Source organism: Homo sapiens, chromosome 21 (assembly GCF_000001405.40).
Source record: "Homo sapiens chromosome 21, GRCh38.p14 Primary Assembly".
NCBI lineage: Eukaryota > Metazoa > Chordata > Mammalia > Primates > Hominidae > Homo > Homo sapiens.
The window spans coordinates 6468887-6484033 of NC_000021.9; the positions used below are offsets into that span (position 1 = coordinate 6468887).

A 15147-nucleotide genomic window follows, 5' to 3' on the forward strand; every position below is an offset into this window, starting at 1 on the left:
GAGAAATGGCAGGGATGGCTGGCGGCCTCCACAGGGCTGGGAAAGGTGGCCAGGGCCTCCCTCAGAGCCTTCAGCCAGCCTGCGGGAGAGAAAGATGATAAACGGTGTTGTTTTTGTTGTTGTTGTTTGAGACAGAGTCTGTGTCACACAGGCTGGAGTGCAATGGTGAGATCTTGGCTCACTGCAGCCTCAGCCTCCCGGGTTCAAGCGATTCTCCTGCCTCAGCCACCCGAGTAGCTGGGATTACAGGCACGCACCACCATGCCAGGCTAATTTTTGTATTTTTAGTAGAGACGGGGTTTCATCATGTTGACCAAGCTGGTCTCGAACCCCTAACATCAGGTGATCCATCCGCCTCGGCCTCCCAAAAGTGCTAGGCTCACAGGAGTGAGCCACCGCGCCCAGCCCAATGTGTGTTGTTTTAAACCACTCAAGTTTGCAGTAATTTGTTACACAGCCCAAATACTTTTTAATTTTTTAGAAATTTTAACGTAATTTTAGATTAGAAAAGTGGCAAGAACCATACAGAATGTCATATTCCCTCATCCAGATTTTCCAAATATTAATTTTTTTTGCTTCTATTATCAGAAACTCATTGTTATTTCAAATGTTAAGTTTTTACTACATTTGCTCCCTCTCTGTCTCTCCACACACACACACACACACACACACACACACACGTGTGCAGGTGTGTATGAATCTGTCACTCAGTCTATCTGGTTTCTCTAACTTGTTATTTTGTTTTGTTTTGTTTCTTTTTGAGACAGAATCTTTCTCTGTCACCCACGCTGGAGTGCAGTGGTGTGATTTCAGCTCACTGCAACCTCCCCCCCACGCTGGAGTGCAGTGGTGTGATTTCGGCTCACTGCAACCTCCCTCTCCCGGGTTCAAGCGATTCTTCTGCCTCAGCCTCCCAAGTAGCTGGGATTACGGGTGCCTGCCACCACACCTGGCTATTTTTTGTATTTTTTTTTAAGTAGAGACGGGGTTTCACCATGTTGGACAGGCTGGTCTCGAACTCGTGGCCTCAGGTGATCCACCTGCCTCGGCCTCCCAAAGTGCTGGGATTACAGGGGTAAGCCACTGCAGCCAGCCCACTCTCTAGTTTTAACACTTACTGATGATTTTGTCTGAATTGATTTTTATTAAAATGGTTGCTGAGCTGTGGCTCACACCTGTAATCCCAGCACTTTGGGAGGCTGAGGCGGGCGCATCACGAGGTCAAGAGATTGAGACCAGCCTGGCCAACATGGTGAAACCTCGCCTCTACTAAAAATACAAAAATTAGCTGGGCATGGTGGTGCGTGCCTGTAATCCCAGCTACTCGGGAGACTGAGGCAGGAGAATCACTTGAACCAAGGACTCGGAGGTTGCAGTGAGCTGAGATTGTGTCATTGCACTCCAGCCTGGCGACAGAGCAAGACTCCGTCTCAAAAAAAAAAAAAAAGTAAATAAATAAGTAAAATAAAATAAAATAAAATGGTTGCTGAATAGTGGTTTTTCTAAGCCCATCACTCCTCCATGTACCATTTGGCATTCCATTATTAGAGTTTTCCTTCTCCCTCATTTATTTATTCACTTAGTTATATCAATGTGAGCCGTAGGTCCTATTTTAAAATGAAAAAGCTACACCTGACCACTGAAAGTGCACGAATGGCCAAGTGGGGTGGCTCACACCTGTAATCCCAGCACTTTGGGAGGCCAAGGTGGGAGGATCACCTGAGGTCCGGAGTTTGAGATCAGCCTGGTCAACATAGCAAAACCCCGTCTCTAGTCTCTACTAAAAATACAAAAACTGGCCAGCGCAATGGCTCACGCCTGTAATCCCAGCACTTTGGGAGGCCAAGGCGGGTGGATCGCCTGAGGTCAGGAGTTCGAGACCACCCTAGCCAACATGGTGAAACCCCGTCTCTACTAAAAATACAAAAAAAAAAGAAAGAAAGAAAGAAAGAAAGAAAAAATACAGCTGGTTGTGGTGGCAGGCACCTGTAATCCCAGCTACTCGGGAGGCTGGAGCAGGAGAATCGCCTGAACTTGGGAGGTGGAGGTTGCAGTGAGCTGAGATCGCGCCACTACACTCCAGCCTGGGCAACAAGAGCGAAACTCCATCTCAAAAAAAAAAAAAAAGAAAAAAAGAAAAAAGAAAAACACATCTCCCCGGCCCTCATCATTTTCTAGCCTCTGCCTCATTTCTGTGTCTGCCTACATGAGAGGAGGCACTGCAGGAGCAGAGCCCCCAGGAGGGCCTGGCCCACCACATTGTACTGGGAAGGAGCTCAGAGCCAGAGATGCAGGAATGCTGGCGTCCTGTGGACAAGGTGGAAGAGCTTCCTTCTAATCACCTCTGTTTCTTCAAAGGAATAGGCCTGACAGCTGGTCAGCAGCAAGTGGACAGCGAGGCCGAGCTGATGGAGGGTTTTGTTGTTGTTACTTTTGTTCAGAGTATAACACGTATGCAGAAAGTGCACATGTCATGAGTGGACAGAGGATAAACCGCTACCCCACTGGGGGGCGAGCAGAGGGGAGAGGCCTGGGCCTGCACCATCCCCTGGTGGCCGGAAGGCTGGGCCCTCAGAACTGGAGGAGATTGGAGGAGGAGGAGGAGGAAGAGGAAGGGAAGGAGGAGGAAGAGGAAGGGAAGGAGGAGGAAGAGGAAGGGAAGGAGGAGAGGTGGGCAGCACTGAGGGCTCCTGCGAATTTCCATTCACAAGTTTCCCAGGCCCCTGGCAGCACGGCTGTGCTTTTCTCTGGCTGCGGTGAGTGGCCCGCGTGGCAGGGCAGGGGAAGAGCGCTGGAGATGGTCGTGTGTGTTTACGAGATTCTCTCTCCCTGCCCAAGTCACGGCAGTGGCGGAAACTTACCCACCCTTTGGATTTGGGCTGAGCCGTGGTTTGCTTCACCCCTTGGGACACACAGCAGAAGGGAGTGTGCCTGTTTGCAGCTGAGACCTCAGGGACAGCGGCCCTGACCTCAACCTGCAGCCCGGGGCCCAGCCCTGCAGAGCCCGGCAGGGGAAGAACAAAATGCCCTTTGCTGGGAGCCACCGGGACTGGGGCTGTTTGCAGGCTGGGTTACGTGTGAGAGTGAAGTTTTGTCTGAGTGTGTTGGTGGGAGACGGCACAGACGGGAGGCTGAGCTGCGTTTGTTTGCAGGGATCTGCGCTGGGTGGGGCGGGAAGGATGGGCAGCAGGCGGCAGGGACAGTGAAAAGCTGGTGGGTCCATGGACAGGCAGCGTCACTGGAGAGAAAGAACTGCCGATGGAGAGTTCTAGAATAAGGAGCTGGAGCATCCGAGGGGCTGAAGGGCTGGCACTATAGCAACAATGCCCTTTGGGTATGAGAGGAGGGGAGGATTTGTGTAGGTCGGTGGCCAAGATCGTTCTGAGGGGAGGGTTCCTGAGCCCAGGCGTCCAGGAGGAGCTTGGATCTTTAATTTCTTTCAGTGGTGTTTTGGGATTTGGGGTATGTAAGTCTCACACTTCTTTGGTTACATTTATTCCTTTTGACTTGAGGGGCGAGTCTGCTGGCCCAGGAATGCAGGCGGTCCGTGTCTCAGGTTGGCTGCACGTCTTCCAGCAACGCTGTGTCATTTTCCGAGAGTAACGTGTGCACTCACTCACTTTCACGCCATCTCTCCACTCTGCATTTGGGCAAGCAGAGTTCCTGCTCCCCGTTCTGCGTGTCTGCCCCACCCCCACACCCCCACATCCCACCTTCAGTTACTAATACTGTATCTTTTCTTTTTCTTTTTCTTTTTTTTTTTTTTTTTTTTTGAGACGGAGTCTCACCCTATCACCCAGGCCAGAGTGCTGTGGTGTGATATTGGCTCACTGCAACCTCCGCCTCCCGGGTTCAAGCGATTCTCCTGCTTCAGCCTCCCGAGTAGTTGGGATTACAAGCATGCGCCACCACGCCCAGCTAATTTTGTATTTTTTAATGGAGACAGGGTTTCTCCATGTTGGTCAGGCTTGTCTCGAATTCCCAACCTCAGGTGATCCACCCGCCTCAGCCTCCCAAAGTGCTGGGATTATAGGCGTGAGCCACCGCACCCAGCCTGTATCTTTCATTTTTCTAGAGACAGGGTCTCGCTCTGTCTCCCAGGCTGGAGTGCAGTGGTGCATTCATGGCGCCCTGCAGGCTTGACCTCCTGGGCTCAAGTGATTCTCCTGCCTCAGCCTCCCAAGTAGCTGGGAGCACAGGTGTGAGCCACCACACCCGGCTACAGTTACTAATGCTATTGCTACCGACAACGGCAACAACTGACTGCCATGCACTGATTGCGGATGTGCCAGGCCCTGCTCTGGGAGCTTCACCTGTGTTACCTGACAGGATCTTCCTAACACTGAAGGAGGGGCACGACCTGACCATCCCTTTACAGAAGAGAAAGACGAGTGTGCAGGAACAGGGAGCAGAGCTGGGTGAGACCAGGCGGCGGGACTCCTGGGCCCACTCTTACCCATGGGACTTTGTGGTCCTCCCACGACGCCAATCAGCCCCAGTTTGAACCACGTGAAATTGCTGAAATGTGACCTTTTGACCCACAAAAAAATGGCAATTTCCTATGATTCAACTTTTTTTTTTTTTTTGAGACGGAGTCTCACTCTGTCGCCCAGGCTGGAGTGCAGTGGTGCAATCTTGGCTCACTGCAACCTCCGTCTCCCGGGTTCAAGCTATTCTCCTGCCTCAGCCTCCTAAGTAGCTGGGATTACAGGTGCGTTCCACCGTGCCTGGCTAATTTTTGTATTTTTAGTAGAGATGGGGTTTCACCATGTTGGCCAGGCTGGTCTTTTTTTTTTTGGAGATGGAGTCTTGCTCTGTTACTCAGGCTGGAGTGCAGGGGCGTGATCTCAGCTCACTGCAAGCTCCGCCTCCCGGGTTCACGCCATTCTCCTGCCTCAGCCTCCTGAGTAGCTGGGACTACAGGCGCCTGCCACCACGCCCGGCTAATTTTTTGTATTTTTAGTAGAGACGGGGTTTCACCGTGTTAGCCAGGCTGGTCTTGAACTCCTGACCTCAGGTGATCCACCCACCTCGGCCTCCCAAAGTGCTAGGATTATAGGTGTGAGCCATCGCACCCGGCTGATTCAACTTATTTTTATTTATTTATTTTTTGAGACGGAATCTCGCTCTGTCACCCAGGCTGGAGTGCAGTGGTGCAATCTCGGCTCACTGCAACCTTCATCCCCCAGGTTCAAGCGATTCTCCTGCCTCAGCCTCCCTGGGATTACAGGCACCCACCACACCTGGCTAATTGTTGTGTTTTTCGTAGAGACAGCGTTTTGCCATGTTGGCCAGGCTGGTGACAAACTCCTGACCTCAGGTGATCTGCCCACCTCAGCCTCCCAAAGTGCTGGGATTACAGGCGTGAGCCACCGTGCCCCTGGCTGATTCAACTTATTTTTAAAAAAAGACCTGGGATTTGAGGAGGTGCCTGAATAGTTGGAGGTAGGCGTTTTCCAAATCGAGTTTGGCTGCGTGGGGTGGAATGTAGGCTCCAAGGATGCCCCGCTGTGTGAACAGGCCAGCTGCTCCTGGAATGCTGCTGAGAGGGAGGTGCCCTGTTGAGGGGGAGTCCCAGGGGGGTGAGGGGCTGGCTTCCTTGCTGAGAGCCACACCATGCCATCTAACAAGTCAGCTGGAACCCCTGGCAAGATGGCCGAGGCTGGGTGGTGACCTCACTTGCTGGGTTGCTGGGCCCAGGCCCGGCTCTCTCCTGAAAGCTCCACAGACCTGCAGACTCAGTTTCCAGGCCTGTCCTGCTGCCCCCGGAGCACGGGCATGGGAAGACAGCCATCTGGGCGGTCTCGGGACTGTTTGGTTGAGAAGGTTCTGTCACATATGACGTGCTAGAAAGAAAAGACCTTGGACTTTAATTTCTTTGGGCGTTAGAGAGGAGAAGGCGATTTCAGCTTTAGACCATGTTTTCTCTTAGGAGCCTGGCGGTGGGAGGGGAGCCCGGCCATGGGAGGGGAGTCATATTTTCCAGACTGTGCGGCTTCAGGCCACCATGGGTCTCAGCTGATCTCTTACAAAGCGCTTGGGAGCTCCCGAGACCGGGGAGGCGGCGCGGCGTGTCAGCCTTGGCTGCCGGGTGGCGCTTGAGTTAACCTGATTATTGCATGGATCTCACTGGTTCAAAACCTTCCTGGGGAAGAAGCCAACTGTCCGTGGAACCAGGAGGAGCCTGAGGGGTGGCAGTGGGCACTAAGGAAGTGGCCTCGGGGTGCGGGAGGACAGCCTTGGCATGGTTGATGCCTTGCCCAGCCCACTCTGGGTGAGGGAACACGGGAACAGTGTCATGTTTCCATGAGGGGCCACTCCTGGCTTCTCTCCTCACCCCCCCACCCCCCATCCTTCCCTGGAGAGGAGTGTGACCTGTCTGACCGCGTCATGCCGAGGCTTCGGCACTGACTTGTGCAGATGCCTGCACTGCAGGGCGCTGATCTGTTTAAATGGCGCGAGCCCTGGGGACTCACTCCCTCCCTACCCCCAAGCAGGCACAGGGCCAGCGTCCCTGCATGCTGTGTGGGCCCAAGCTGACCCGCAGGTGGGCAGTCCCGGGTCAGACCATGGACAGGGATGGCCTTACAAGTTCTCTGGGCCTTAAAATCTAGATTCATGTTCTCCAATCTGCTTTGTCAGAAATAAAGTTGATAAGGCAAAAAAAGTCTACTCAGGTGAAAACCCTCAGAGGCATCCTTGAATTCTCTCTCACAGCCCACACTGGACGCAACAGCAAATCCCATAGGCTCTTTTTTTCTTGAGTCAGGTCTTGCTCCGTTGCCCAGGCTGGAGTGCAGTGGTGCAGTCCTGGCTCACTGCAGCCTCAACCTTCTGGGCTCAAGTGACCCTCCCACCTCGGGCTCCCGAGCAGCTAGGACCACAGGCATGTGCCACTGTACCTGGCTGGTTTTTAAATACTTTTTGTAGAGATAGGGTTTCACCATGTTGCCCAGGCTGCTCTTGAACTCCTGGGCTGATCCACTTCCCTAGGCCTCCCAAAGTGCTGGGATTGCAGGCATGAGCCACTGTGCCCGGCCCCTGTAGACTCCTGTTCATTCAAAATATACCCCAGGCACAAGGACGTGCAAAAGACCCACGAGCAGAAGGGAATCCAAGAACAGACCCATCTGCACACGGTGACGGGACTACCACAGAGGGAGCCGCGTCCTGCAGGGAAAGGTGGTGGTTGTTTTTACAATAAATGCTGCTGGAGCAATTGGATATCCATGTAGGAAAGCGCTGATTTCACACCGACACGGAACATGGCTGCATGCGTGGCTCACGCCTGTAATCCCAGCACTCTGGGAGGCCAAGGCCGGTGGATCACTTGAAGCCAGGAGTTTGAGACCAGCCTGGCAACATGTGAAACCCTGTTTATATTAAAAAAAAAAAAAATTAGATGGGCATGGTGGCTTGCACCTATATTCTCAGCTACATGGGAGGCTGAGGTGGGAGAATCACTTGAGCCCAGGAGTTTGAGGCTATAGTGAGCTATAATTATGCCACTGCACTCCAGCCTGGGTGACAAAGTGAGACCCTGTCTCAACAATGACAACAACAAAAGGAAGACAAATCCTAGAGCTAAATGTGAAAGTGAACATATTAAAGCTTATGACGGGGGCTGGGCACAGTGGCTTACACCTGTAATCCCAGCACTTTGGGAGGCCAACGTGGGAGGGTGGCTTGAGCCCAAGAGTTTGAGACAAGCCTGAGCAATATGGTGAATCCCTGTTTCTACAAAAAAAAAAAAAAAAAAAAATCAAAAAATTAGCCAGTCGTGGTGGTGCACACCTGTAGTTCCAGCTACTTGGAAGGCTGAGGTGGGCGGATCGCTTGAGTCCAGGAGATGGAGCCTGCAGTGAGCTGAGATCACACCCACTGCACTCCAGCCTGGGCGACACAGCCAGACCTTGTCTCAAAAACAAGCTAACAGGCTGGGCGCAGTGGCTCATGCCTGTAATCTCAGCACTTTGGTGGGCTGAGGCAGACAGATCACTTGAGGTCAGGAGTTCGAGCAACTCAGGAGGCTGAGGCAGGAGAATCGCTTGAACTCAGGAGGCAGAGGTTGCAGTGAGCTGAGATCACACCACTGTACTCCAGCCTGGGCGACAGAGTGATAATCCTTCTCAAAAAAAAACAAAACACGCACACGCACACACACACACACACAAGCGGCCAGGCACCATAGCTCATACCTGTAATCCCAGCACTCTGGGAGGCCAAGGCGGGTGGATCACCTGAGGTCAGGAGTTCAAGACCAGCCTGGCCAATATGGTGAAACTCTGTCTCTACTAAAAATACAAAAATTAGCCAGACGTGGTGGTATGTGCCTGTAATCTCAGATACTTGGGAGGCTGAGACAGGAGAATTGCTTGAACCTGGGAGGCGGAGGTTGCAGTGAGCCAAGATCGCACCATTGCACTCCAGCCTGGGCAACAAGAATGAAACTCCATCTCAAAAACAGAACAAAACAAAACAAAACAAAAAGCAAACAGGCTGGGGATGGGGGCTCACGCCTATAATCCCAGCACTTTGGGAGGTTGAGGCAGGTGGATCGCTTGAGGTCAGCAGTTTGAGACCAGCCTGGCCAACATGGTGAAACCCCATCTCTACTAAAAATACAAAAATTACCCGGGTGTGGTGGCGGGCGCCTGTGGTACTTGGGAGGCTGAGGCAGGGGAATTGCCTGAACCCAGGAGGTGGAGGTTGTAGTGAGCTGAGATTGTGCCACTGCACTCCAGCCTGGGCGACAGAGTGAGTCTTCATCTCAAAAAAAACCAACCAAACAAACAAACACACACACACAATATATATATATATAAGGCTTACAACAAAGACAGAGAATATCAGCAGGAACTTAGGGAGGCGAGAAGTATCTTACATGGAACACAAAAAGCACCGTGTACAGACGAAAGATGGGTAAATCAACTTAGTTGAATTCTAAGAACAGGCTTTCATCAAGACACCATTTAGAGAGAGAAAAGGCAAACCACAGACTGGGAGAAAATATTTGCAACGCACGTCAACAAAAGATTCATCTCCACCGTATATAAAAAACATCTAGAAATAAATAAGAAAATGACAAACTACTCAATTTTTTTATTTTTATTTTTTTTTGAGACAGAGTTTCACTTTTGTCACCCAGGCTGGAGTGCAATGGGCGTGATCTCGGCTCACTGCAACCTCTGCCTCCCAGGTTCAAGTGATTCTCCTGTTTCAGCCTCCTGAGTAGCTGGGATTACAGGTGCCTGACAACCAGGCCCGGTTAATTTTTGTATTTTTAGTAAAGACGGGGTTTCACCACGTTGGTCAGGCTGGTCTCGAACTCCTGACCTCAGGTGATCCACCCACCTCGGCCTCCCAAAGTGCTGGGATTACAGGCGTGAGCCACTGTGCCCAGCCTCGATATTTTAAAATAGGCAAAAGACTTAAACCCGGCTTCACAGAGAGACATGCAAATGTTAACAGCAGGAAAAAGTGCCGGCCTCATTAGTCATCAGAAATACGAAAATGAAAACCACAGTCACCCATCACTGCACCCCACCAGAACGGCTTACAAACCAAGCGGAGAGGACCACCCCAAGCCCATCACAGTCCAAGCCGCCCTCTGCTCTTGCCTGGACAGTCCTGTCTGTGTGCTTCTCCTCTGCACTCCTGCCCGGCCTGCAGTCTGTCCCCCACACTGCAGTGAGAAACTGCTTTAAGCATATAAATTAGAGCTCTTTATGCTCCTGTTCAAACCCTTCCCACGACTCAGCTTAGGGATTCCAGGGACAAGCCACGTGTGGTCACTCAGACCTGTACTCCCAGCACTTTGGGAGGCCGAGGCGGGAGGATGGCTTCAGCCCAGGAGTTTGAAGCCAGCTTGGGCAACATGATGAGACCCTGTTTCTAGGGAAAAAAAAGATTCCAGGTCCTTCCCATGGCCCATGAGGCCCTGTGAGAGCTCTCCCTGGCGTCCTCCCCAACCTTTTCCTGATCTCTTCCCAGCACACGTCTTCAACACCTGGGGAAGGATGCCCAGGGTCCCTCCCTCTGGGGCCCCCCAGTACTCAGTCCTGAGTGACTGTGGGCCTGGTTTCACCCAGTGGCATGTGCAGCTTGCAGGTCATTCTGGTCAGGGGCCAGAGCGCCAGCAAGAAGTCTCTCTCTCTCTCATCACCCCTCTCTCTCCCTCCCTCCCTGTAAGCTGGCAGCATTTTGGGTGGGGGCTGCCCTGTCAGCCTGGCCCCCATGAAGACAGCTCTGAGCTGCAGGACCGATGGCAGGCATGTAGGTGAGCGGGACATGAGTCCTGGGATTTCAGGGCTGTTGTGACCTGGTGCTAGTCTTTCCTGACAACCCCAGTGTGTTCCTGGTTCCTGCCGCAGGAAATCTGCCCTCACTGCTCCACGCGCCAGGACGTGCCCTCCTCCTCCTCTTTCCGCACCTATCTCCTGGCTGCGGCTGCTCACTTGTACCTGCACCATTACTTACTGCTGTATTCTTTGCTTTTTCCAGACTGATGCACCCACCAGCTGCAAATCTTAGGCCAGCTACACCCAACACAGTTGAATATTGTGGACAAGCTGTGCCAGACAAAATCATACATGATTTCACTTCTAAAAGCAGGCAAAACTGTCATGTTTAGTGAACCATATGTAGTTTGTAAAATAGTAAAAGCAAAACAAAATGATTATTGCAAACGTCAAGATAGTTGTTTCTTTTAGGGGGAGGAAGAATTTTATGGCCGGGGAGGGCTGGCCTGGATGCTGGCTTTGTGTTGCTTCTTGACCACGATGATCACCTTGCAATTGTCTTTTAAACCAGGTTTAGCTTTGAGGTACTTTGCTGTATGTATCATACATCTAATTAAAAATATAACAGACATGGAAGCCAGCTAAGAGATGCAACGTAAGCGTAACTGGGGGAACCATAAGAAACAATGTTGGCTGGGCACAGCGGCTCACGCCTGCAATCCTAGCACTTTGGGAGGCTGAGGTGGGTGGGTCACCTGAGGTCAGGGGTTCGAGACCAGCCTGGCCAACATGGCGAAAAATACAAAAATGAGTCGGGCGTGGTGGTGTGTACTCGTGGTCCCAGCTATTCAGGAGGCCGAGGCGCAAGAATCACTTGAACTGGAGAGGCAGAGGTTATAGTGAGCTGAGATCGTGCCACTGCACTCCAGCCTGGGTGACAAAGTGAGACTCTGTCTCAAAAAATAAAAGAAACAACGTAAGAAAACTTAGAACAGATGAAGTATTTGATAGCATTCATCCTTGACTTCCTGGATTGAATCACACCCACTACTGGCAGATTTACCTTAACACGCTGCTGGACTGTTTGCTAATATTGGATGTGGGGGTTTTGCATCCATATTCAGAACTGGGAGGCCCCTGTAGTTTTGTGGGCCATTTTGATCAGTATCACACTCAGTTCATAGAATTTGGAAGCTGACCTTTTTTTCAGGTTGGAAAAATAAGTGATGCCAACTTGGGCCTATGAGACCGAGATGCTGGGTGTCTGTCATGGCCTGCATCGGCCATCTCGCTATTCGCCTAATGTTATGTGGAACCCACACGGCACAGACCAGAGCTCAGCAGGGCAAGGCCACTGGACCTAATTACAGAAGCCAACACATCTTTTTTTTTTTTTTTTTGAGACGGAGTCTCACTTTATCAGCCAGGCTGGAGTGCAGTGGCACAATCTTGGCTCACTGTAACCTCTGCCTCCTGGGTTCAAGCGATTCTCCTGCCTCAGCCTCCCGAGTAGCTGAGACTACAGGCATGTGCCACCACACTCGGCTAATTTTTTTTTGTATTTTTAGTAGAGACAGTGTTTCATCATGTTGGCCAGGATGGTCTCAATCTCCTGACCTCGTGATCCGCCCGCCTTGGCCTCCCAAAATGCTGCAATTACAGGCGTGAGCCACCACGCCCGGCCCAACACATCTTCTCGTTGTTGGAGCTAGTTTGTTAGATTGTCTGTCACCTGCAGCGAACAGCACACTGGGACAGCCTGGTCCACTTAGGGTCTCTGAAGCGGTTCCCTCTTCTGCAGAGCGAGACGCTCCTATTTCTCAAGAGCTTGTGTGGGTCAACTGGGATAAAGAGCTAAAGAGGTCCCTTTTCTTCCTGCTTTGTCCCATGTCAACCACAACTCCCCTTGCTGGTGTCTGGATTTTCAGGGCAGGTAAAATTTACCTTCCATGCCCCCACAACCTGGTTCAGCTTTGCTATTTCCAAAGCCCTTGAGATTCTAACCCCGCCATCCCCCTGGACCTCTCACTTCTCAGGCTGCTCATCTGGACCGAAGGGAGCTCTGGGAACAGAGCGGTGGTTCCTAGGAAGTGCTGCTTCGATTTGAGCCCCGCTTCTCCAGGGCAGAGGCACAGCATTCGCCAGGCAGGCACTGTGTCTTGCTCACCCCGTGGTGTGCATGCATGTCCCAGCGTCCTGGCGGTGCTGGCCACTGGGTGGCTGCGAACCCCTGGAGCCTGGGAAACATGAAATAACAAGCCACTGCAGGGAGCGTCATAACACGGAACACGCTCGACGGCTGTCCTCTCCTGGGTCCCCTGCGTTAGGCATGCAAACTTGGGTGCGCAGGGTAAAGCATGTGGGCTTTATTACTGCATTCCCTACTGTCATGTATGTTTAGATATTTCCAAAATAGAACTTTTATTTCATGAAATGATGGTGAAACTTGAGAGCAAGCTAAAAAGTCCCACTTGGCAAATTAAAAGTTAGAAATCTTATGTTGATCCCGTCTTTGGTAAAATTTAGGTGGAATGTGAAATTCACGGTCTGGGAATAAAGTGCTTTTTAGGGCCATCCATAGCCACGTCCCGCATGGCTTGTTAGTGTTCTGAGACTCAAAGTCTTACCTTCCATCGCACAGGATCGAGAATCAGATTTTATAATTCTATTCTTCCTCTGTGCTTTGAATTGAGACTTTTTCCAGAAATCATTCTTAGGTTTATTCCCTTTTGGTAAATTCTAGTTCAATCCTGAACTAGAAAAGAGGCAGTGACCACCATCACCCCTTTAGACACTGCCGTGGGCACACCACCAATACCTTCCCCATACTCAGTTCATTTGAAGGCAACAGATTTTCTCCAATTAGCAGGGCAATGACCCCATTAATCATGGTTTCAGAAATATTTAAAATGATCCTTATCTACTTACAAGCACATGCATATGGTAAGCTTGTTAGTCCTCCTGACTCAACAGCAAGCAAAAGAATGCTGCAGGGAGGCCAGGCATGGTGGCTCACACCTGTAATCCCCGAACTTTGGGAGGCCGAGGCAGGTGGATTGCCTGAGCTCAGCAGTTCGAGACCAGCCTGGGCAACGTGGTGAAATCCCACCTCTACTAAAATACAAAAAATTAGCCGGGCCTGGCGGCGTGTGCCTGTAATCCCAGCTACTCAGGAGGTTGAGGCATATAATCGCTTGAACCTGGGAGGCGGAAGTTGCAGTGAGCCGAGATTGTGCCACTGCACTCCAGCCTAGGCGACAGAGCAAGACTCCGTCTCTTAAAAAAAAATTGCTGCAGGGAGCACACAGTAACTTAGATAATTCAACACCACTGTTGAATCAGATGTGCTGATACCGTATTTAAAGTTTATTCTGGCAGCTGTTTGCCATTTGGTTTTATATCTCAGCAAACGTCATATAATATTCACGTAAGAAACAATTTACAGTGGTATTTGGACCTGAATTCATTATAAATCAAAATTATTTCAAGTGGCTTTTATATTCTTCCTTTTTAAAAACAATCTGCCTGGCCCTAGCACCTGTATAAAAGCTTAACTCTATCTGCCACTGGTGGACCGCCTGGACTCATTTCACTGGGCTGCTCTTTCTCAACCATGATCCACGCACACCAGAGGGGCAGCAGTGCCTCATGGGCACTCAGGGTCATGCTCACCTTCCCACCTCAACCGCATCATAGACCCACACTGGGGTGGGGGAGTGGGGACCAGGGTGACAGGCTTCCTGTGTGACTGTGAGCTCCTCTTACTACAATGTCTGAAGACACTTTTTATGGCATTTTGATTCACATTTTATCATTTACTGGTTTTTTTTTTGGGACAGGGTCTCACTCTGTTGCCCAGGCTGGAGTACAGTGGCAATCACACCTCACTGCAGCCTCGGCTTACCAGGCTTGGGTGGGTCCTCCCATCTCAGCCTCCCGAGTAGCTGAGACCACAGGCATGTGCCACCACACCCAGCTAATTTTTTGATTTTTTGTTGAGATGGGGGTCTATGTTTGCTGCTCAGGCAGGTCTTGAACTCCTAGACTCAAGTGATCCTCCTGCCTCAGCCTCTCAAAGTCATGTATATTTTAAATAAGCTTTCTGATTCTTAGCGGTTAAGAAATATAAAGTACAACTTTTGCCATCTTCCCTCCTTCAGACTGAGTGGAAATTAATAAATGGCCATCACTGACCAAAGTTAAGGTAAAAGAAAAAAAAAGTTTGTACTTTTTTTGGAAACATGTCGAGTATAAGGACATAAACGAAACGGCCCACATCGCCAAACACTGCCACTAACCCATCTAAAATTACCATTTGCCCACCACCCACATCACCAAACACTGCCACTAACCCATCTAAAATTACCATTTGCCCACCACCCACATCACCAAACACTGCCACTAACCCATCTAAAATTTCTGCCCACCACCCACATCGCCAAACACTGCCACCAACCCATCTAAAATTATCTGCCCACTACTATAGTATACAAACCTATTTTTTTCTAAGAGACAAGGTCTCACTGTGTTGCCCAGGCTGGAGTGCAGTGGCATGATCATAGCTCACTTCAGCCTCCCAGGTGAATCGACACCATCACCTTCTTGAACTTCATCACATACAAATGGGCTTTCATGAGATGGTCAAGTAGTATGTCCTGCCAATCTTCACTGGGTGTGTAGTTAGGGCCCAGCCACTCCCCTACTCCACCAGCAGGGTCTGTCACTGAGCCCCCACAAGGAGCAGAGCAGGGCAGGAGAGCCTGGGTGACTCCCACCTAGAGCCAGGAGGTTTTTGAGGATGAGGTATGTGGACACGTGGGCATGGTTTGGGATGGCCTCACTTGGAACGTTTTGGTCTTAGGAATGAAATGCTCAGCCCCCAGCACTGACTTGTGGCAGGTGCCCC

At 50.9% G+C, this 15147-nt stretch overlaps 1 long non-coding RNA gene across 2 annotated transcripts in view, besides 1 other annotated feature; it reads right to left on the reverse strand.

The window, feature by feature from the left end:
- The window catches only part of LOC102724701 (uncharacterized), a 441766-nt gene that overhangs the window by 239921 nt on the left and 186698 nt on the right, over window positions 1–15147 (reverse strand). The gene's annotated exons all lie outside the window — the stretch shown is intronic.
- Window positions 1–15147: part of a sequence alteration artifact (region identified as an assembly artifact by the Genome Reference Consortium. This region falsely duplicates sequence located at GRCh38 chr21:43035651-43187643) that runs on past both edges of the window.